At 39.1% G+C, this 24478-nt stretch overlaps 1 protein-coding gene across 3 annotated transcripts in view; it reads right to left on the bottom strand.

Moving 5' to 3' along the window:
- The window catches only part of ZNF277 (zinc finger protein 277), a 137240-nt gene that overhangs the window by 112211 nt on the left and 551 nt on the right, over positions 1–24478 (bottom strand). The gene's annotated exons all lie outside the window — the stretch shown is intronic.

Raw genomic sequence — 24478 nt, 5'->3', positions numbered from 1 at the left:
GAAATAAAAGGGAGACATCATTCATGTTAAAGAAAATTTAAAGAATGTCAGTAAAAACACTCATAGGCAATGGAGTATCTATATAATAAAAAGTTATCCAAAAAAAAAAAGGGAGGATGGGGAGATGGAAGGAGCCAAAAAACAACCTGAAAAATTGCAACCCAGCATTTGGACCAGATGGCATTCATCAGAGACTTCAGAGATAATGGAGCTACTCATAAAACATGCAGTTTATCATGAAAAAGCACTCCAGTGGAAGACTAAGTATCTCCAAAATTTTGATAAGGGTGACCTTGGATTTATCAGTTGCACAGAACAAAGGATTTGCAGTAGATATGAATGTAAGTTTTCAATAAGAGAAAAATTATAGTGACAAACCAGCATTTCCCCTTTCTGGTTTATCACACTAAACTTCACTCCAATTAACACACTGACATTTTAAGAGTTTCTTTTTAAAAAAATTTTACACACACACATCATACACAAAGACACAATTTTTTTTTTTTTTTTTGAGACGGAGTCTCACATTGTTGCCAGGCTGGAGTGCAATGGCGCGATCTCAGCTCACTGCAACCTCCGCCTCCCGGGTTCAAGTGATTCTCCTGCCTCAGCCTCCTGAGTAGCTGGGATTATAGGTGCCTGCCACCACGCCCAGCTAATTTTTTGTGTTTTTAATAGAGACGGGGTTTCACTATGTTGACCAGGCTGGTCTTGAACTCCTGACCTCGTGATCTGCCCACCTTCGCCTCCCAAAGTGCTGGGATTACAGGTGTCAGCCACCATGCCTGGTCACAAACACACGATTTTAAAGACACAATCACTCCTCTATCCCAAATCCTAAATGAGGTGAGGTCTTGTTTAAAAATTCTTGTAAATTTTGTATAAAATCCAGAGCTTAATTAGGAATATCTGGTAAAAATAGGCATGGATCAAAACAAAAATACAGAATTGCAGGAGTATTAATATATGGCCAATTTTAATTATGGAAAAGCTATGAGCTGTAAATTCCTTAGAAATAAGAAAAGCATGACTCTGAAAAATGTACTCTCATTTAGAAAATAAAGCAAATTTAAAAGTGCAGATTTCCACACAAAGTCAAGTGTGCACTCAACAAAGAGGTTTAATTACTTGATCTGTGACTCTTAGATGATTCTTCTAGTGTGGAACTCACACTTCACAAGTGGTTATAAGTAAGGGAGAAAAATAAAATCCTCAGTTATCTCTGTTCTCTGGTCGAGAAGCTGCAAGAGATTAAAGTAGTGGGGCCAATCTGGGAGACTTGCATGAGATATACTTTCATTTTGGGCTTTTTCCTTTAACATAAAGAAAATCATAGCTGATTTTTAGCTGGGCATCCAGTTTGGACTACATAAGGAACATGTCCAATTAACAAGTCTCCTAACTATCCTGCCCTGCCCCTATATCCATTCTCACATTAGTACGGCCACAGGCTGTTTCTAGTAGAGATGAGGTTTCACCATGTTGGCCAGGCTGGTCTCAAATTCCTGACTTCAGGTGATACACCCACCTTGGCCTCCCAGAGTGCTGAGATTACAGGCGTGAGCCACTGCGCCCAGCCAGCCACAGGCTGTTTCTATACAGCAAATCTGATTCATATTACTCACCCACTTAAAGCACTCTCCTCATCATGTAGGAGAAACTCCAAGTTCTTTCGCATGGCCCACAAGGTCCTTTATAATGCAGTCCTTGCTCCCTTCTCTAGCCTTGTCTCCTACTCCATTGCTCTATTTTAGGTTTTAGTAAAAAGCAGGTGTAGGGCATCCCAAGCCCTTCCTCAAGCACCTCATTCTATCAAGAAGGCATACCCATCCTTGGCCACCTGGCAAAGACCTCTGCCTAGGAATTATCTCTTTGTGAAGCCTACCCTAACTGCCTAGACAGGTTAATAATACAGAAATCTGGGATAAATTAACTTGCTGCTTCAGTGTTGACTCTTTCACGGCACTTCTGTGTTACTTTCCTCTACTAGACATTGGCTCCTTCAAGACAGGAACTTGTCTTGTTCTTTTTGGTGGCTTTAGGGCCTAGCACATAATTAGTGCTTAATAAATGCTTGCTGAGACTCAGAGCTCGAGAATATCAAAGGTGTCATTTTTTTCTAGGGAAAACTGTCTGTGTGACAATTACTAGAGAGATTCTACTAAATGCTTTTGAAGACCACTTGGCCTCATGGAGAACAAAGACCCACATGGCCATATAAATAAGGGCTTAGCAGATTGGACAGTTTCTTATAAGTTGGTTATGAGATGCAGTATTTTGTTCCATTTTATCTACCACTGCTTCTCTTTGGAGTCTGCAGCTTTAAGAAGAGTTTCTGAAATGTCCTTGTATGGCATCTGACTCTTCTTTGCAGTGTTGTATGCAAGCTGCTACTCTAGACTACGCTACTCTGTATTCATCTACCTGCCTGTTAGTCTTTCCTGGTCCTCTGGTCTCTCTCACTTCTTCCATGAGGGCAACCATAATTACTTCTTTCAAACAAACATGTTCTCCATCCATTCCTCAGAGCTTAACCTAGTTATTGGTACTAGTTACTCTTCTCCAATTAGACTATAAGCTCAAAGAATACACAACTATGTCTTGTCCTTTTAAAACATTTCCCTAATTGACTTCTTTCCATGTCACTAACAAACACTCTATATTTGAATGATATAAATACAAAAAGCATCCCTTCATGCAGGATGTTAATACAGCACTGCTTAATTTATATAATGCTTTAAACTTTGTAAAATAATCTCCTAAACACTTCATACCTCACCAAAACTCTGTGAGGTAAGATTATTTATTTTAGTTGCGAGAAAACAGAAGTTCAGGGAGTGTGATTTATCTAAGGTCACACAATGAATATGTCAACCTGATTCTTTTGTCCACAAGTTCAATGATCTTTGTACCCCACTATGCTCTCGATCTTTGGATAAGACCAAATTTCAGGGGTTGTATGCATAAAGAACAAGTTTATAGTGATCTGTCAACTATATAAGCAAAGGAACTTAGCATATACTATGTACAATCTGACTACCTGAAACAATAAAAAGATAGTAAAAAAATAAGAGTGTTGGAAAAGCCTGGCATAAAAGACCATGCATATTTAATATGCTCCATTCAAAACGTCCGGGGTGACTTTCTAGGAGGAGTTTAATATTTATGGGAATGACAAGGTCAATGTATAAGGCCTAACGTCCATAAAGTCAAGCAAGGGACAGCATGTGCTCAACAGCTTGAAAAAAAAAAAAAAAAAAAAAAAAAAAGGCCTCTCCTCTTCCAGAAAGAACATGCATTCACCTGTGCACATACCTGTTGGCCAAATGGAATAGAAGACTGTATAGAAATATGGGTGATATATTCAATAGACGTAGTTGGTTGACTGATAACTCACAAAACATGTTTACCTAGAGCCCCAAAATGTGATTTTATTTGGAAATAGGGTCTTTGCAGATGTAACTAAAGTAAGGATCTTGAGAGCATCCTGAATTAGGGTGGGTCCTCAATCTAATTCCTTGTTAGAGACAGATAGGGGGAAGACAAAGAGATGCAGGAAAGGAGGCCATGTGAAGATGGAGGCAGAGACTGGAGTCACGCTGCCAGAAGCCAAGACCACTTGGTACCACCAGAAGCTGGAAGAGGAAAGGAAGGATTCTCCCCTAGAGCTTTCAAAGAGAGCGTAGCCCTGCTGACATCTTGATTTTGGACTTCTGGCCTTCAAAACTGTGAGCGAATAAATTTCTTTTGTTTTAAGATGTGGTTCATGGTAATTTGTTACAGGCAACCCCAAGAAACAAACACAGTATACACAGCTGAACTATTAGACTTAAAATTTCTCTCTCTACAAGCTGTTGATGAGATTTCTCCAGATAACTAAATAGGATAATATGATTAAAGCTACAAAGACGTATGTAGCTAATTCAGCTACATAATAATATAGCCATTCAGGAATGGCTTCACATTTAAAAAAGTTAAGATTTGAAGTATGAATATGACTTTACAAGAGAAATTATATATATTTATAATGAGGGTTACAATATTTACAAAATATAACTTACAAGAATATAACTGTTAAATTAAGTTTAGCCTAAAGCTGTCTCCTTAGATAGGTTTGGCCAAAAGTTTTCTCCCTACATGGTGAACTGTAACCTAATTGGATGTGTAAATAGACGGTAACCTACTCTTGTGCCAATCATGCAGTTTTGGCCAATCACAGGCCCAAAACTGTTTAAATTGCATTTAGGCAAAGGCTGATAACCAATACAGCTGTTTCTGTACCTCACTTCTGTTTTCTGTCCATAAATCTCCTTTGACCATGAGGTAGGACAGGAGTCTCTCAGAATCTGCTGTAATTCTGAGGAGTGCCCAATTCACAAATTGTTCTTTGCTAAATTAAACTGTTAAATTTGTCTAAGGTTTTTCTTTTTACATAACTTTAAAAAACAAAAACACGCAGCCTGCAAGCATATGAAAATATGTTCGAATTTCTGAAGTATGAGTGAATTTCACAGCAGGATCAACTAATTTCACGCAAGGATCAACTAATGTTGACAAAGTTATAATTAATTTTGATAACTATCCATAAATAAGATGCATTCAAAGTCTGATTCACTAACGTATTGCCACAAGAGATATCAGCAAATGTAATTTCAGCAAAAAGTAACAAGCAAAGAGGGCAATGCAGCTGTGTCATTTAAACTCTGCTTGCCTCAACTGGTCTACTTTGAAACTACATTTAATGTAAGTGAGAATCCTGAAGAAATGGAAATTTGCCAGTTGGCTCTGAATATTGCTAATAGGAGTGAATAACAATGGGTCCTATGAATCATTTTGAAGCTGTCTAAAAAAAAAGCTTTCACTAAAAAATTCCTCTATATCATACTAGTTTTGGATTTTACATCAAAGAGATGCCTAGATTTATCATTTAATTAATAAACAGTAATTCAGAAACTGACATTTCTGACAATGATACCACACACAGAGAATATAAAAAAATCCAACTAACCTACATTCTTGAAGTCAATGAAAGCTGATAGAGGAATGTGAATTAAATTTTCATAACCTTAAATAATGCATTAGAAAGCTACGGTTACCTGACTTAATAAGAAGCACAGGCTTGAGTACTCTGGAACAGTAGGTCAGAAAATGGTTACTTAGGAAACTTTTTTGTTGTTGTTCAATATTCAAATCCTAATTCAAATGTACTATCAAAGGAACACTAAACTAGAGAAACAAAGATGCTGATTTGAAGAGTAAATGTTCTCATATTGTGCTAAAGTGGTAGGTTTTGTTTATATAAATATTAATTTCAGTGATACCTGGGACATCTTCAAAACAACTCTGGCTTCTTGTATATAATGGAGAAAATGTTCCTTAAAGGATGCTACATCTCCCTGAGGCAGAAAAAATACCTGTTTCTTGTATTTATCCTGTGCTTTGGCATCCTATATTTATTTTCTTACTCCTGGGGCATAAATAGGAAACATATGAAGATGAACGACAGTGATTACTATTACAGACACAGGATGAAGGATCTTTTCTGGAGATATTTACAGATGGAACTGTTTGGGATGGTAACATTCTTAATAAATAAGGGGGAGATAACTCTGATTAGCATTTCCCAAATTAAATTCCATGGAACACTAGAAACCCATGAAATGTTAATAGATGCTATTTGAGAAAAAAGTTGTGATAGTCAACTATTTGGGAAACAGGATATAATATTTATGTCTTGGACAGTCACAAAAATTAGCACACTAAAGTCCTAAGTAAAACAGTCAGGTAACTTTAGCTCAGTATTTGCAAATTATTTGCTCAAAAAATTTTCTTCATGTAGTATCATAATACTTTTCTCCCTCATAATTCTATGGAGTCCTGGAATACTGTCCCTAAAAACATAAATAGTATACTAAATTTACATTGGCCTTGCCTAATTCAATAGCATAGTGAAAAAAACAAGAGAACATGAATTTCTATTAAAATATCTTAAAAGCGTGAAATGAATTTCTTTTCAGTCCATTACCTAAAGGTCTTAGTTTGTCTTTAATTTTTAATTCATTTAGGCTCCAAGAACATGTAAATATGCATGGTTGGATGTACTCTGGGATTCACACAAAGAAAAGAAAAACAGAATTGTGCCCTATTTGTAGAAACAACTATAACTACTGACATCTAAAAATATAAATGAGAAAATTATTAACATTATAATTTAATGTGTTCTATCAATAAACTCTAAAGTATTTCACAAGGAAAAATAATCAAGAACAGGGATCTTTCTCTGCAGCAAATCCCTTGTACTTTAGAGGTCATGAAAAAGAAAGGGTATTATTACTTTATACTTGAGAATTATATTACAACTGGCTGATTATTCAGGATTAATGAGCTCAAGGTTAGAAGTTCAGTGGCCATATGGGCAACTGTAATGACTTGCCTGGCACTAAGCCCCTGCCAATACCACTAATCAGCATGGCAGGAGTCCCTAAGCCCACCATTGGTTTGGCTCTGTTCCAGCCTCAAGCCAATGGCTCTGCATCAACCCAGTTTTCTTGGCCTCATCTCTACCTGGTTCTAGGATGCTAGTCACTGGACACATGACTAACTTCTTGAAACCAAACCTCAACTTTAATTCTTTTTCCAGTAATTGAGCTCTTAATCTGTTGCCCTGATTCTATCACTTCTTGACTTGATGCCTCATCCAGAATCCATCTTCCTCTATATTTGTTGCTTTTACAATTTTCTTTTTTAGAGACAGGTTCTAGCCATGTTGCCCAAGATGGTCTTGAACTTCTGACCTCAAGCATTCCTCCTGCCTTGGCCTCCCAAAATACTGGGATTGCAGGTGTGAGCCACCACCACACCCAGCCCTAAATTTTTTTCAGGACTTTTAATAACTTGACTCCTGTCCCTAAAGTCCAGTTTACTTGTAGCTGTGTCCTTGCTACTGAACAAAGACTCATTGACCATATTTTAGTCATGTTCCTCTGAACCCTTTTCCTGACTAGGCCCCGTCCTTGCCAGACCTGCATAGTTCAGTTTTATCAAGAATCCTGCTAAATCAGTTTAGAAAGAATCCCCCGTCCTCAATAACTCACCACCCTCAATAGCTGAAAAAAATTCTTGCCATCCCCCAGGTGATATCTGATTACCCTGGCCTGCCTTCAGCAGGAATCCCCCCTTATCCCTGATGCTTCCTCTTAGTGATTTTCCATCTCCCAAACCCTCCAACCTATTTCTTGACTATAAATTCCCACTTTTCCATGTTGTATTAGGAATTGAGCCCAGTTCTATACTGAGGTGTTGTTTCCTCACAAGCTTATCCAATCCCTGGCCCGTGGGCCACACACAGCCCAGGGCGGCCTTGAATGTGGTCCAACACAAATTTGTAAACTTTCTTAAAACATTATGAAATTTGTTTACAATTTTTTAAAGTTCATTATCTATTGTAAGTGTTAGTGTATTTTATGTGTGGTCCAAGACAATTCTTCTTCCAATGTGGCCCAGGGAAGCCAAAAGATAGGACACCCCTGCTCTACTGTAGGAGTTCCTGAATAAAATATTTTTTCTGCCAGTTTACTGTCCAGCTCTAGTTTTTCTTTAATACTACCCGCTACCAGATCTCTCTACTTCTCTGTATTCTAACTGATGCCTGTCTAATCTCTATGGCATACTCTGCCTGCAGTCATCTGGGCATTCTAAATGACAGTGCCCGAGCAGAACCCAACTTATTAAAGTAGACAGAATCTTCATATACAACCTGCTCTGTCCCAGCACATTTTTCTAATCCCAGAAATTTCCTTACAGGAGTCAGCTATGCTCTGACTTTATTAACAAGGGCAGAGCTCTTTGCTTTTGAATGTGACAAGGAAGACTGCAACCCCAATTGCTTCTGAAAGCCTTCCTGTGACTATGGTTGTCTGTAATACCTAGTTTAAAAAATTCTAACCAGAGAATTCTGGGTCGGCAAGACAGTGGAATAGGAGGTCCTCTGCTTATATCCCTGCTTCTCTCAAAAAATTTTGCAGCCATCCCTGGACAAAAGCGCCTTTGTGGGAGCCTTGGGATTTAGGCAGGAGTTTCTAAAACCCCAGTGGAGTCTAAAAACCTAGAAGGGTCATTTTGAGAGGGCAAACCTACGACCAGGTGGCAGACTCATGAACTGTGATCTTGGCTCCGGACTTGGAAATGACCCTGTCTCCCTGTGGACTTGGCTACAGCCCCATTTGGATTTGGGCCTCTTCCAAAACTATCCACCATGGAGACTGGGAAAAGTCACACATACTAGTGCCTAGGGAGACAGACCTGTTGACCTCAGTCTCTGCTGTGGACCCTAAAAGGATCCTTTAACTTGGCTCCAGGCCTTCTCAGCTACAGTCCTAGATCAGTGTTCCTGGAACAAAGACACAGAGGGAGACACACCATTCTGAGTCCCCTGGGCCAGCTTGCAACCCTCAGTCCAACAGCAGATCCTGAAATGGCCCCGAATCTCATCTTCGAGCCTCTATCAGCTGTGGAATGACAGTAGTGCTGCCTAGCCAGGGATCAGCTGGGAGACATGCTACGTTAGTCAGGGTTCTCTAGAGGGACAGAACTAATGAAACATATACATATAAAGGGGAGTTTATTAAGTATTAACTCACACAATCACAAGGTCCCACAATAGGCCATCAGCAGGCTGAAGAGCAAGGAGAACCAGTCCGAGTTCCAAAACTGAAGAACTTGGAGTACGATGTTCGAGGGCAGGAAGCATCCAGCATGGTAGAAAGATGCAGGCTGGGAGGCTACGCCAGTCTCTCTTTTCACATTTTTCTGCCTGTTTATATTCTAGCTGTGCTGGCAGCTGATCAGATGGTACCCACCCAGATTAAGGGTGGGTCTGCCTTTCCCAGCCCACTGACTCAAATGTTAATCTCCTTTAGCAACACCCTCACAGACACGCTCAGGATCAATACTTTGTATCCTTCAATCCAATCAAGTTGACACTCAGTATTAACCATCACACATGCCTATTCATATCCCAAGGGCAGGCTTGCAGTACTCAGTCCCACAGTAACAACTAGAAAAATAATAGAAAGGATCAACACAACTAAAAGTTGATTTCTGGAAAAGATACACAAAATTGACAAACCCTTAGCTAAGCTAACTAAGAAAAAAAAGACAGAAGCCTCAAATACATTAAATCATAAATGAAGGAGATATCACAGCTGATACCACAGAAATACAAAGGATCATGAGGGTACTATGAGCAATTATATGGCAATAAATTGGATAACCTAGAAGAAATGGATAAATTCTATACACATAGAACCTAGCAAGACTCAATTATGAAGAAAGGGAAAATGTGAACAGCTCAATATCAGGTAAGGAGATTAATTCAGTAACAAAAGCTTTCCCATGAAAGAAAAGCCCAAGACCTAACGATGTCACCGCTGAATTCTACCAAACATTTAAAGATGAACTAACACCAATGCTTCTCAAACTCTTCCAAAACACTGAAGAGGAGGAACCACTTCCAAACTCATTTTACAAGGTCTGAATCACCCTGATACCAAAGCCAGAGAAGGACACTTCAAGAGAACAAAAGTACAGGGCAATATCCCTGATAGACAAAATACTCAACAAAATAGTTGCAAACTAAATTCAACAGCACACTGAAAGAATCATTCACCAAAATCAAGTGGAATTCATCTCAGGGATATAAAGATGGCTCAAAATACATGACTCTATAAATGTGATAAACCATGTTAATAGGATGAAGGACAAAAAATATATGACTCCATAGATGTGGAGAAAGTATTTTAACAAAATTCAACATCTCTTCATGATTAAAAGCATAGAAGGAATCTACCTCAACACAATAAAGGCCATTTATCAGGAGTCCCCAACCAGTACTGGTTTGTGGCCTGTTAGGAACTGGGCCACACAGCAGGAGGTGAGCTGCATGTGAGTGAAGCTGAGCTCTGCCTCCTGTCAGATTAGTGTCAGCATTAGACTCTCATAGGAGTGTGAACCCTACTGTGAACTGTGCATGCAAGGGATCTAGGTTGCACACTCCTTATGAGAATCTAACGCCTGATGGTCTGTCACTGTCTCCCATCACCCCCAGATGGACTGTCTAGTTGCAGGAAAACAAGCTCAGGGCTCCCACTGATTCTTTATCATGGTAAATATTAATAATAATAGAAATAAAGTGCATAATAAATGTAATGTGCTTGGATCATCCCAAAACCCAGTCTGTGGAAAAACTGTCTTCCACGAAACCAGTCCCTGGTGCCAAGAAGGTTGGGGACCACTGCCATATATGATAATGTTACCGGGGGTCCTTCCTCCCAGAGCTCCCGAGATGGTGGCAGGCTGCTTCCAAGATGGCGGCAAGCCTCTTGTTTTCTGACCTGGGTTCTTGGCCTCAGGGATTCCAAGGAATGGAATCTTAGGCCACATGGTGAGTGTTACAGCTCTATTAGAAGCCGTGGGTCATGGAAGAGAACCGTGGAACCCAGCAGCTAGTGTTCAGCTCGATTAGGATGAACCCAGGCACTTAGCCATGCAGGAACGATGGCCAGCCTTTAGCCCAATCGGGAGCGGCAATGGGCACCTCGCTGGATCAGGAGCCCAGCAGACACCCTGCTGGATCTGGAAGGGTGGAAGTCAGCGGCGGGTCAGCGGCGGGTCTGCGATGGTGGCAAACAGCAGTGGTGGACAAAGAGCAAAAGCTCAGCTCGAGCGGTAACAAACACGGACCAGAAGAGTGTGCAGTTGGAAGGTTTAATAGAGTGAAAACGGAGCTCCCATACAAAGGGAGGGGACCCAAAGAGGGTAGCCCGTGCTGGCTGGAATGCCTGGGTTTATATCCTGACAATTGTCCCTCCCCCTATGCTCTCAGGTGATAGATGATTGGCTATTTCTTTCCCTCCTGTTTTTGCCTAATTAGCATTTTAGTGAGCTCTCTTTACTACCTGATTGGTCGGGTGTGAGCTAAGTTGCAAGCCCCATGTTTAAAGGTGGATGTGGTCACCTTCCCAGCTAGGCTTAGGGATTCTTAGTCGGCCTAGGAAATCCAGCTAGTCCTGTCTCTGAATAAGGCCTTGCTAACATACTCAGCAGTGAAAAGTTAAAAGTTTTTTCTCTAAAATAGGGAACAAGACAAGGATGCCCATGCTCAGCACCTCTATTCACCACAGTATTGAAGCCCTGGCCAGAACAGTTAGACAAGGATAAGCCATCACAATCAAATGTTAAATTTTTTTTGTTTACAAACAACATACTCTTATATACAGAAAACCCTAAAGACTCTACCAAAAAACTGTTAGAACTGATAAACGAACTCAGTAAAGTTGCAGGATACAAAATCAACAGGCAAAAATCATCAGCATTTCTATACACTAACATACGAATTAAAAAAGAAATACCATTTACAATCTTGCCAAAAAAAAAAATACTTAGGAATAATGAACCAAAGAGTTGTAAGATCTGTACAGGGAAAACTATAAAATACTGATGAGAGAAATTGAAGAGGAAACAAATAAAAGGAAAGATATGCCATGCTTATGGATTAGAAGAATATTAAAATGTCCACAGTACTCAAAGTGATCTACAGATTCAATGCAATCTCTAACAAAATTTCAATGACATTTTTCACAGAAACAGAATAAACAATCCTAAAATTCATATGGAACCACAGAATACCAGGAATAGCCAAAGCAATGTTGAGCAAAAAGAACAAAACTGGAGGCATCACTCTACCTGATCTCAAAATCTACCAAACCGTAGTAATCTAAACAGCATAGCAGCTGGGTTTGGTGGGTTACACCTGTAATCTCAACACTTTGGGAGGCCAAGGCAGGAGGACTGCTTGAACCCAGGAGTTGGAGACCAGACTGGGCTAACATAGTGAGATCTCCCTCTACAAAAAATTTTAAAATTTAGCCAGGTGTGATGGTGCACACCTGTAATCCCAGCTACTCAGGAGGCTGAGGTGGGAGGATTGCTTGAGCCCAATAGATCAAGGCTGCAGTGAGCCGTGATTGTGCCACTGCACTTTAGCGTGGGAGACACAGCACTCTAGCCTGAGCAATAATAGAGTGAGACTCTATCTCAAAATGAAAACAAAATCCAAAAATCCAGGTACTGGCATAAAAATAGACACACGGACCAATGAAACAGAACAGAGAACTCAGAAATTAATATGTGCATTTATGGTCAACTTATCTTTGATAAGGGTGCCAAGAATACATAATGGGGGAAAGGACAATCTCTTCAATAAATGGTGTAAGGAAAACTGGATATCCACATAAAGAAGAATGAAATTGAACCCTTATTTCACCTCCTATATAACAATCAACTCAAAGTAGATTAAAGGCTTCAACCTAAGACCCGAAACTGTAAAACTCCTAGAAGAAAAAATAGGGTAAAAGTTTCTTGACATTAGTCTGGCCAAAGATTTTTTGTACACGACCCCAAAAGCACAGGCAACTAAAGGAAAAAGCTAACAGGTATATGAAGAAATGCTCAACATCACTAATCATTAGAGAAATGCATATTAAAATCATGAAGAGATATCCCCTGTTAGGATGGCTATTACCAAAAAGACAAGAGATAAGCATTGGAGAGAGTGTGGAGAAAAGGCAACTCTGTACACTGTTGGTGGGAATGTAAAGTAATATAGCCATTATGGAAAACAGCATGGAGGTTCCTCAAAAAATTAAACATAGAATTACCATATGATCCAATGAATCTACTTCTGGGTACATAACTGAAGAAAATGAAATCAGTGTGCCTATGAGATATCTGCACTCCTATGTTCATTGCAGCATTATTCACAATAGCCAAGATAAAGAATCAAGCTAAGTGTCCATCAATGGATGAACAGATAAAGAAAATGTGGTGCATATATATACACAATACAGTATCATTCAGCCTTACGAAAGAAGGAAATCCTGCCATTTGTGATAACATGAATGAACCTGGAGAATGCGAAGTTAAATAAGACAGAGAGAAAAAGACACATACTGTGTGATCTTATTTGTATGTGAAATCTAAAATGGTCACATTCATAGAAGCAGATAGTACAATGAATGATAGGTACCAGGGGCTAGGGGGAGGGGAAGATTGGAGAGATGTTGGTCGAAAGGTACAAAATTTCAGTCAGGAAAAAGTTCAGGAGATCTGCTGTACAACAGGGTAACTATTATTAATAACACTGTAATGTATACTTGAAAACTGCTATGAGTAGATCTTAAATGTTCTCACCACAAAAAAATGGTAAGTATGCAAGGTTAATTAGCTTATTTTAGCCATTCCACAGTGTATATTAATACATATATCAAAACATCATGCTGTACATAATACATACTTTTAGTTGTCAATTAAAAAATTCTAAAATACGAAACAAAAAACAACGGCAAGTTACTGAAGTCTATTGTGGTTCTTCATTAACTCTTGCTTTAGCAAGGACTCCTGACTTAACTTTCCCCCTCCAGTACATTGTTACCTGATTAAACTTTGATCTTGTCATTCCTTTTCTTCAAAGTTTCAAGACCCAATAGGTTCATTTTGCCCACTGCCCAGAATCAATTTATCAAGACAGGGGAACTGAAATGGAGAAAGAGTTTAATTCATGCAGAGCCAGCTGTACAGGAGACTGGAGTTTTATTATTACTCAAATCAATCTCCCCAAATTTGGGGATCGGAATTTTTAAGGATAATTTGGTGGATAGGGAATCAGAAAGTGGTAAGAGCTGATTGGTCAGGTCAGAGATGAAATCGTAGGGAGTCGAACTTGTCTTCTTGCGCTAAGTCAGTTTCTGGGTGGCGGCCACAAGACCGGATGAGCCAGTTTATTGATACGGTGGTACCAGCTGACCCACTGAGTGCAGGGTCTGGAAAATATCTCAAACACTAATCTTAGGTTTTACAATAGTGATGTTATCCCTAGGAACAACTGAGGAGGTTTAGAACCTTGTGGCCTCTAGCTGCATGACTACTAAACCATAATTTTTAATCTGGTGGTTAATTTAGTTAGTCCTGCAAAAGGCAGTCTACTCGCCAGGCAAGAAGCGGGTTTGTTTTGGGAAAGGGCTGTTATCTCTTTGTTTCAAAGTTAAACTATGAACTAAGCTCCTCCCAAAGTTAGTTCAGCCCATATCCAGGAATGAACACCGGCAGCTTGGAGGTTAGAAGCAAGATGGAGTCGGTTAGGTCAGACGTCTCTCACTACAATACTTTTCTGCTATAATTTTTGCAAAGGCAGTTTCAGTCTGCATAATCAAGTTCTAAGATCTGAGACAGTATGATCTACTTTCAATTTACATTTCCAGACTTCTTTTCCATTGCTGCCATTTACTTATCATTTTCTCTAGGCAAAATGTATTGACTTGATACTTGTTGTATATGCCCTTAGTTTTTCTATTGCTCCCTCCCTTTGTGTAGGCCTATAACACTTTTTCCTTGTTTCTGCATGTCCAAATATTATTAAACTTCAAGGCCCAGTACCACCTGTTGGGAATAATCTCTTTTTTGCATAACTCTATGTATATCACTCTAATGTTCCCCAGCACTTTCTACCTTGTAATATGTACTTCTTATATCCTCCCTATTAGGTCATAAGATCCTTGATGGCAAGACCAATGTTATTCTCATCTTTGTATTCTACAGCATTCAGAATAAAGAAGTTTGCACATAGCAGATGCTAAATAAAATTTTTGAATGAACGAAACCTCAGTTCTATCAGTAGCTCTTTCAGTTTTGCACTGTTTATTACAAATGGAAAGGAGAGTGAGATAGGATGCATCCTAATAATCAATCCATATTGTCTCAGAGTATAGGATCCCAGAAGACATCTACTGCAGTGGTTCTCAGCCAATTTTCTAACCTGATACACCTGATCAATGACACACACATGTGCAACTAATTCTTCAGGCCATATCCAGATTTTTCTTTTTCTTTTTACAGATGCTAGGACTGAATTATGTCGGCTCCCAAGCTGTAAACCTACCTCCTCTTTCTTTTACTGATATTTGGAAGATGGAGTTGAAAGGATGCTAACATAATCTCACTCCCTCATTTACAAACCAGGAAATCTTAACCAGGAGTGCTAATGACTTCTCTAAAATCACAGTCAGTCGGAAGGAGAAGTGGGATTAAAATCCTAGCGCTTTATGAGGCTGAGGTGGGCGGATCACTGAGCTCAGAAATTCGAGACCAGCCTTGGCAACATGGCGAAACCTCATCTATACAAAAAATACAAAATTTAGCTGCGCATGGTGGCACACACCTGTAGTATCAGCTACTCAGGAGGCTGAGGTGGGAGGATGGCTTGAGCCCAGGAAGCAGAGGTTGCAGTGAGCTGAGATCATGCCACTGCACTCCAGCCTGGGCAAAAGAGTGAGACCCTGTCTAAAAAACAAAAAACAAACAAAAACAAACAAAACCAAAAAAAACCTAGTTCTTCTGATTCCTTGTCCAGTGAGCTTTTTGCAAAGCTGTACTGTCTATGATCACTGCTGCTGGAAAAATAACTCAATGTCGCAGTACATTATTAGCATTACTTACCTTTGTGAGTGGATGCATATTTAAAGAGCATTCAAAAGTCATTCATAAACTGGTTTGAAAGAAATTCAAATAAGCCCGCAGACTCTCACCTTCCTTTCCTTCCCTTCTCCTCCTTCATTTGAGAAAATTAGTTGTACAGTGCCTTGGCAAAGACAGCTTGATTGATGTTATGTTACAGTTCAGCAACAGTTTCTGCTATTAATTGCTTTATAATGGTAATTACGATTAGCGGGTACAGGATATTTTCTTTTCTAATTGGCTATTACTGGTGAATAGCAGCTTATTACATAACAGAAGACTGTGTTAAATAACCACGATTACAATTCTGAGATCTTTACTAGTAAAAAAACAAACCTCTCTATTTGGATAAAAACACTAAAAAAAGTTTTTTAAAGGCAGGGCCTCTGTGATTACTTGCAGGGAGGGGAGAGTTCTTTCAGTTAAGAAAAAAACATGAAATGAGGACAGTATTAGAGAAACAAGGAGGCAAAACAAGAATTTCCTTTCTTTTAAAAATAAACACATGTAAAAGCTTTAGTATGCTCAGCGCCTCTGGCAAGGCATGCATATCACAGAATCAAATGTATCCACTTCATCCCACAGTGCTATATGGAACTAGAAGAGACTCTCTTATTAGCTCCGGTGAGACAGGGATGCAGAGCCCACCAACTACACTGAGATGTCCACATGGATAAGGCTAGGGGTTCTTCATTTGTATCCCATATAGAGCCCAGCATGGCGCTGATTCACAGTTGCCAAACACCACCAAATGCCATCACAACATGACACTGTCCCAGAGGATGAGGTTAAAGGTATATTTAACAGTTCCTGTCCTTACAGAGTTTATATATTGTATAATGTGGGATTTGTCTTGATTCCAGCTTTAATGTTCTTTGATTAGTTTGTAATCATTTTAAAGTTACATCCAAGCTTTTGTAGTAGTAGTAGCAGTAGCAGCAGCAGCAGCCATAATAGTAATAATGAGGTCCTATTACTTGCTGAAGGTCATACAGCTTTTAGCTGACAGCTCCTTTTGATTCCAGTTTATCCAAGTCTAAAGCTTGGGCTTGTACTCGCTACTGCCTCTTGAGACAGACTTTTATCAGTAGCATCATTTGTCCCTATATTTTCATAGTGCCTCAAGATTCATAGAGTGCTTTAACATACTCTGCCCTCACCACACCTCCCAATAATATCAACATCATTTTTTTTTTCCTGATGAAACTGAGGCTCAGAGAGGTTAAACGATTTTCCCCAAGTTCACACTGCTAAAAAGCTACAAATTCAGATTCAGAATCCAGGTCTTCTGACTCCTATTCCAGTTTTTCCTTCTACATATTTTACTGATTCAATACTGTACATTGATTATTTTAAATATGCTACTCATGGAGAAAGCTTAATACTATCCCACATTATCCTATAAAATTTTAAATATTTTACCACTTGTCAATTGTTGACTCCCTCTTTCCCAACCTCCCTTCACCCCATGAAGCAAAGGTTTAAATCCTGTTTAGCTCTAGAAAACTTTACTTGGTTCCTATAGCCAAAGATATCATTCAACCCCAGCTGCCTATGTTGCAAATAAATGCCACTAGTTACAAAGATGATCAGTGAGAAGTAAAGAAAAACAGAAGACTGATCAGTCAAATCTATCACCACTTCTGAAAAAAGCTGCCCTGCTCACCTTTGGGTCAAGTAGGTCAGTAGAACATACTTGTTTCAGCATGAGGTGGCAAGTCTTTAAGGTACTGTCAATGAAAAGCCAACTCATTCAGAGTCTGATAAGTTTATCAAATAAGTCAAAACTGAACCCTAATTTTGTGGCAAAGTTCTCTAAGAAGAGCTAATAGAAACATTTGAAGATTTAATCACTGGAGACAGCAGTTTATGCACATTGCTTGTTTCTATATACTCGTGATTTATATTTAGAAGAGAGTATGATTTCTATTATATGAATCTGATCGACATCCTCTTTACAGTTTTTCCAGATGGAAGTGTATGAGTGTGTATTGTAAAGGGCAGCACTATTCTTTTGCATGAATGGGAAGGTCAAGGTCAACACAATAAGTGTATGTAATTCGGTATCTGACCCATCAAATCCCTCAATAATAACCTGCTCTTCAAGTGCAGAAGACATATTAAAACCACTTGTATCACTTCTGGCACATATGCCAAAGATGTGCCTATACCTATGACTGAAATAACAGTCACAATTGAAGACCAGACTATTATATCATCTCACCTAATCATTTCCACATCCCAGCAATATAGATACAGTATTACTCATTTTACAGAAGAGAAACTGAAGTTCAGAGGTTTACCAGAATCTGATCCTAAGCTGGCCTGATTTTAAAATCTTTTCACTATTCCATACTGCCTTTCTATGGTAACATTGGCTTTAGAGCATATTTATGTGTAAGAAAAGTCTGTTTCAGACCTCATTCAATGGAATTTAGTTACTATGAGACATCATTACAACCGTGCATAGGATAAAAGTCTTTTCTCAGTTATTGTGTGACTTTGGGCAAGCTACTCTTTTCATCAGTTTCCTCATTTGTACATAAAAAGCGTAATATGACTACCTAGGGGTTGCTATGAAGATGAAATGAGATAATACCTATAAAAGCATTTGAAACAGTATCTGGCACAGTTAGTGCTCAAAAAAATGTTAGCTATCATACACATCATCATTATTATATCCCTTTTAATAAGAGCTCTTCTCTAAATATCCTACAAGTTGGGTCCCATTGATTTGTCATAGGAAAATAAAAGAATGCTTTAAATAAGGCCTCTTCAGAACCTTATACAAAATGTATTAGTCCATTTTCATGCTGCTGATAAAGACATACCCGAGACTGGGCAATTTACAAAAGAAAGAGGTTTTAATTGGACTTAGAGTTTCACATGGCTGGGGAAGCCTCACAATCATGGTGGAAGGCAAGGAAGAGCAAGTCACGTCTCACATGGATGGCAGCAAAGAGAGAGCTTGTGCAGGAAAACTCTTCTTTTTAAAACCATCAGATCTCATGAGACTTATTCACTATCATGAGAACAGCACAGGAAAGACCTGCCCCTATGATTCAATTATCTCCCACCAGGTCCCTCCCACAACACATGGGAATTCAAGATGAGATTTGGGTGGGGACACAGCCAAACCATGTCACCAAACAAGACCTACAAGAGTAGTTTCTATAATTCTTATCTTCTCTGACATCCCACGGCCTATACCTTGTGAGGCAACCCCAGTATACAATGTTACTTGAGTTTCTTGATGACTTTGAGTGTCAATGTGTGTGTGTGCGGGTGGGGAGCTGGGTGTGAGTAGAGTAGCACTGTATAGAAGTGAGAGAGGATACAGAAGATAATATAAAGGCTTGCAGAGCACATAGTTGTAATACTAGTATGTAGCACCAACAGACACTCTGACAACTCCCAAATTCCAGGAAAGCATTGACAGCATAAGCAGTTATCACCAACACATTCCTAAGCTTCCCCAGGGTTACTCCACAATTTAGATTGCTTCCTAAGTGAATACAGTATCAAAGAGCAGGCAGTTCTTGATAGAGCAGGCAGATCTTTATAATTGGGCCTATCTTTATAATGAAAGCAACTAATACTTACTGAGGTCTGACTTTATAACAGGAAATATGCTAGGCTTTCATAAATATATAAATATGAAATAATCACAATAACTGCAAGACAGGTATTATACGGATATTTTCATAAATGTGGCAGCACATATAATAAACCTATGTTACACAGCTTTTAAATGTCAGAATTGGAATTTAAATACCGTTTTGTCAAAATAAGGTCTAGTCCTCTTTCCATTGCCATGTCAAATATATGAGACTGGACTTAATGGTTTATAGAAATAGAATGACAGCCTGTAGAAAATTGGTAACAGCCATATAGATGATGAAAGACAGAATTCAAGGTCCATGTGGTAGGTCATTCAGTTACAGGCTTAAAGTTATAAAGGCCAGATCTAAAGTATTCTTTTAAAAAATGTAATTATTATTTAAACAACATTAAAACTTTATTTTAAAAAACTGAAATACTATCCTTAAATGCTAACTATGATCACCTTGACAGAATATCATCCTCCTGATATTTTGCATTTTAGTTGGTATGCATACCTTTCACAAGCATAAAACATCTATTCAGTTTTTTATTCTACTTCAGTTCCTCTGCTCAAAATAGTAGCCACTCTAAATGCCTTGAATAAATTTCAAGCATATTCTAACATTAGACTGTTATACAATGTTTACTGTATGCAGCTTTGATAAACACTGGATGTACAAAAGTGAAATAAGGCAACTCTTGACCTCAAGAAGTTCACTGTCCACTGGGGTAGACAAAGTTGCCAAAAAATAACTACAGTGTGACATGGTAAGTGGATAATGGAGATATGGGAAAGGAAGCAGGGTGACTGAAGATGAGGCTAGACAAGTAGATTAGAATCTTAAATGCCACACAGAGAGTTTGGACCTAATTATACATGTAGCAGAATTACACTGAAGATTTCAAGTGGAGATCCATGAATATATTTGTTTTACAATGTGGATTAAAGGAGGTAAAGTCAAGAGTCAGTGAGATCAACAGGAAGGTTTTGCAATCGTTCAGGCTAGAATTCCATTCTGGTCAAACACTTATTAAACATTAACAATGTGCCAAGAACAGAATCAGGCTGACAAACACACATACAACTGGTTCTCAAGAGCACTTTCTGGGGCATGGGAGATGCAGGTAGGTAATTCAGCAGTAATGGTGAGGGTTAGTAATGGAATTAGCACAGTGGCTGTAGCTATGAATAGAGGGAACAGGTTCAAAATATACTACAGGCGCAGAAAAATAAGGCTTGCTAACTGATCAAATTCAGTACCTGAGGGCGAGTTAGGAATCAAGGATGCTTCCTAGGTTTCTAGCTTAGACTTGATGCCATTTATTGAAATAGGAAATACAAGAATGAGGAGTTTACATCACCTGCTACCCTTCCCTCTTTCTTCCAGAGACATCACACATGAGATAGTAAGTTCTCTGGAAGATAAACATTACCAAAATCATCAGATAATAAGGTCCAGAATCCAAGCATTAGCAAAATCATCAACTACTAAACACCCATTCGGAGGGAAAAAAGTTGACTTTGACAGAATATTACAATATGGAGATACAGATTAATACTCAGAAGAAATAGCCTCAGTCACAAAAGCCTCCTAAATGTATTATTACTGAATTGTGCTACCTTGCTGATTTTTAAAAACAGCAAAAGAACAAATGCCAATGACACCACGTGAGGGATGCTGAATCTATTTATTATCTGTTCTTAATTTTAGGAGACAAATTGAAATTCTGGTTACTGTTCAGATGTATGTAAAGCAGTGTCCTTTAACCCTTGACCTAGTGTGCCAGGTGCAGTAGCTCACGCCTGTAATCCCAGCACTTTGGGAGGCCGAGGAGGGTGGATCACCTGTGGTCAGGAGTTTGAGACCAGCCTGGCCTAGATGGCGAAACTCTGTCTCTACTAAAAATATAAAAATTAGCTGGGCATGGTGGCACACGCCTGTAATCCCAGCTACTCGGGAGGCTGTGGCAGGAGAATCACTTGAACCCGGGAGGCGGAGGTTGCAGTGAGCTGAGATCGTGCCACTCCACTCCAGCTTGGGTTACAGAGCAGGACTCTGTCTCAAAAAAAAAAACAAAAAAAAAAAACAAAAAACAAAAACAAAAAAAGCAAAAAAATCCTTGACCTCAATGTGGGGACTTTCTTGGAGAAGGATGGAGCCACAGAAGTCTGGCAACACAGTGGTCTCAGTGAGTGTTGCACCTGCCTGCACCCCACCCACTGACTCACTCTAGCAGAGATTTTGAGGAATTGCAAGGATTTCTATAAAAAGTCTTCCTAGGCCTCACTGTCCCAGGGTATTAAACACACAGACTAACATTTTAATCAGAGCAAGAAGAAAATCTCTTAAAAGAAGCAGTTTTCAAGAAGTCAAAAAGGTGTATGTTTTTTAAAAATTTTATTTTTATTATACTTTAAGTTCCAGGGTACATGTGCACAACTTGGAGGTTTGTTGCATATGTATACATGTGCCATATTGGTTTGCTGCACCCATTAACTCGTCATTTACATTAGGTATTTCTCCTAATGCTATCCCTTCCCCATCCCCCAACCCCACGACAGGCCCGGGTATGTGATGTTCCCTGCCCTGTGTCCAAGTGTTCTCATTGTTCAATTTCCACCTATAAGTGAGAACATGTGGTGTTTGGTTTTCTGTCCTTGCGATAGTTTGCTCACAATGATGGTTTTCAGCTTCATCCATGTCCCTACAAAGGACATGAACTCATCCAAAAAGGTGTATGATTTTTACAGGGAAAGACATACTTGATAACCTAAATGACTGCCTAACAAAAAATATACTTTTAATATAAATATTTACACCTAAAATTTATATCACACCTTGTTGGCTTTGAAAAGATTTTGGAAAAAGTAACAGAATGATACATAGGTTATTAAGCAGAATTTTTAATGACAACTTTATCTTATAAAAATGACATAAAAAATCAACCATTAATTTCTCCTGTTGACTGCTACAAGTCAATGAGAATACTGGGTATTTCTCACCGAGGGTGAGAAATTTTTTTATGTTATAGATACCGCAAATTCACTACTACTCAACACTTTTATTGAAAACAAACTGGAATCAAAAACTAAGCTTTCTATCAGTTACTTAATTCAATCTACTAGTCATTGAAACATTGGTCCTGGATTATTTCCTCAAAGTTTGTGACAATATGGGGGAAAGAACACTCATATACTACAGGTGGCAATGTATGCTGAATATATTTTAAGAGGAAAGTCTGGCATCTGTCAAAATTTTAAACTTGCATAACCTTTGATCCAGCAATTTTCTCCCAAAATATACAACCAGTGGGCAAGAATATATGTACATAAAGTTGTTCATTGCAACATTACTGAAAAACTAAAGTCACACTATATGTTCATTTATAAGGGAATGGATAAAGAATGGCACAATCATATTTTGGAATATGATGGGCACAGTCCTTAAAAAAAAAGGAAACAAATGTACTGACGTGGAAGGGTTTCTATGATAGACTGCTGAAAGAAAAAAGAAGGTTGCAGATCTTTCAGTTTATATAGATTTATCCCTTTTTATTATAAAAATCAAATCATAGGCCGGGCGCGGTGGCTTACGCCTGTAATCCCAGCACTTTGGGAGGCCGAGACGGGCGGATCACGAGGTCAGCAGATCGAGACCTCCTGGCTAACACGGTGAAACCCCGTCTCTACTAAAAATACAAAAAACTAGCCGGGCTTGTTGGCTGGCGCCTGTAGTCCCAGTTACTCGGGAGGCTGAGGCAGGAGAATGGCGTGAACCTGGGAGGCGGAGCTTGCAGTGAGCCGAGATCGCGCCACTGCACTCCAGCCTGGTTGACAAAGCGAGACTCCGTCTCAAAAAAAAAAAAAAAAAAAAAAAATCAAATCATACAGACGTGTGTCATATAAGAATATGGTGGTTTAACAGAATACGGATTGTAGGATTAAAAAAAAAAAAAGAAGAAGAAGAATATGTTGGAAAGAATATGTACCAAACTCTTATCACTTAATACTCGGGGAGTGGTGCTGTGAGGTGAGGGAATTTTCATTTTTTTTACTTCATACACTTCTGAATGGTTTGAAGTGCTTTTAAAAACTTTTAAACTTGTAAAATTTAAAAATAAATATTTTTAAATATTTTACATTTTTGAAAGGCATATCCTTTTTTTTTGTTTTGTTTTTGATACAGAGTCTTGCTCTGCCTCCCAGGCTGGAGTGCAGTGGTGGATCATGGCTCACCACAACCTCCGCCTCCCGGGCTCAAGGGATTCTCCTGCCTCGGCCTCCCGAGTAGCTGGGACTACAGGCATCCGCCACCACGCCCGGCTAATTTTTGTATTTTTAGTAGAGACGGGGTTTCACCATATTGGCCAGGCTGGTCTCGAACTCCTGACCTTGTGATCCACTCGCCTCGGCCTCCCAAAGTGCTGGTATTACAGGGGTGAGCCACCGTGCCCGGCCATTTTTTAAAATAAGTTAGACTGTGAGATAAATTCACCAGTTTAGATCTTAAACTGGTAGCCCTCTGGAACTTTGAAAATCTAGGAAACCGTAATAGTCTGTTACCATCAGATAGCCCAATATATAACCAACCCAAAAATAAACCATTAGGGTGTTAAATTCAATATTTAACTCAGGAGACTACCAAAGATTTGTTTGGTAGAGGTACTAAAATAATTTCAGAGTAGGGAGTTCCACTGTTGGGAAGTGGGAAAAAACTGCACTTCAACTCTGTGCCGCTGAGGTAAATACTTAAGATGATATCAATTTAACTGTGAAAGCAAAAACAAATAAATCGAAAAACAAAGTCGCAACAGTCTGAGAACTATATTTAAGCCCCAAACCATGTTCATCAGAAAAAGACAACTTGTGCTAAATTACACATCAAGACAAAAATGGGGTGGGGGGAATGGGGGAGGGATAGACTAAAGGTAAAAGAGTCCTAAACACAATCCACCTGCAGCTTTCAAAATTTGGTTTTTTATTCCTACAGTGGATCAGAGGACAACCTGAAAGTCAGGTACAGCCAAAGTTGTGATGGTTTTCAAAACTCTTTTCAAATGTTCTTTGAAGCCACGAGTGCAAATTATCTATCACTTTCCTTTTCTTTCTCTAAGGACCCAGAGACTGGGAAGATCTCTCAGGCTCCACATACAAATCTGAAGAACACCCAGAGCAGTTAACCATCTACAGGGAGGTTGTGAGATACACACACTTTCCCTTCAGAGGTCACCTCAGCCACAAACTGGGCAAATCTGTAGAGTGGAGAGCAGTGACCACCAGTCTGCGACTGGAAATACTCCGGAAGCT

Source organism: Homo sapiens, chromosome 7, assembly GCF_000001405.40.
Source record: "Homo sapiens chromosome 7, GRCh38.p14 Primary Assembly".
NCBI classification, from domain to species: Eukaryota; Metazoa; Chordata; class Mammalia; order Primates; family Hominidae; genus Homo; species Homo sapiens.
This window is presented reverse-complemented; position numbering and strand designations above follow the sequence as displayed.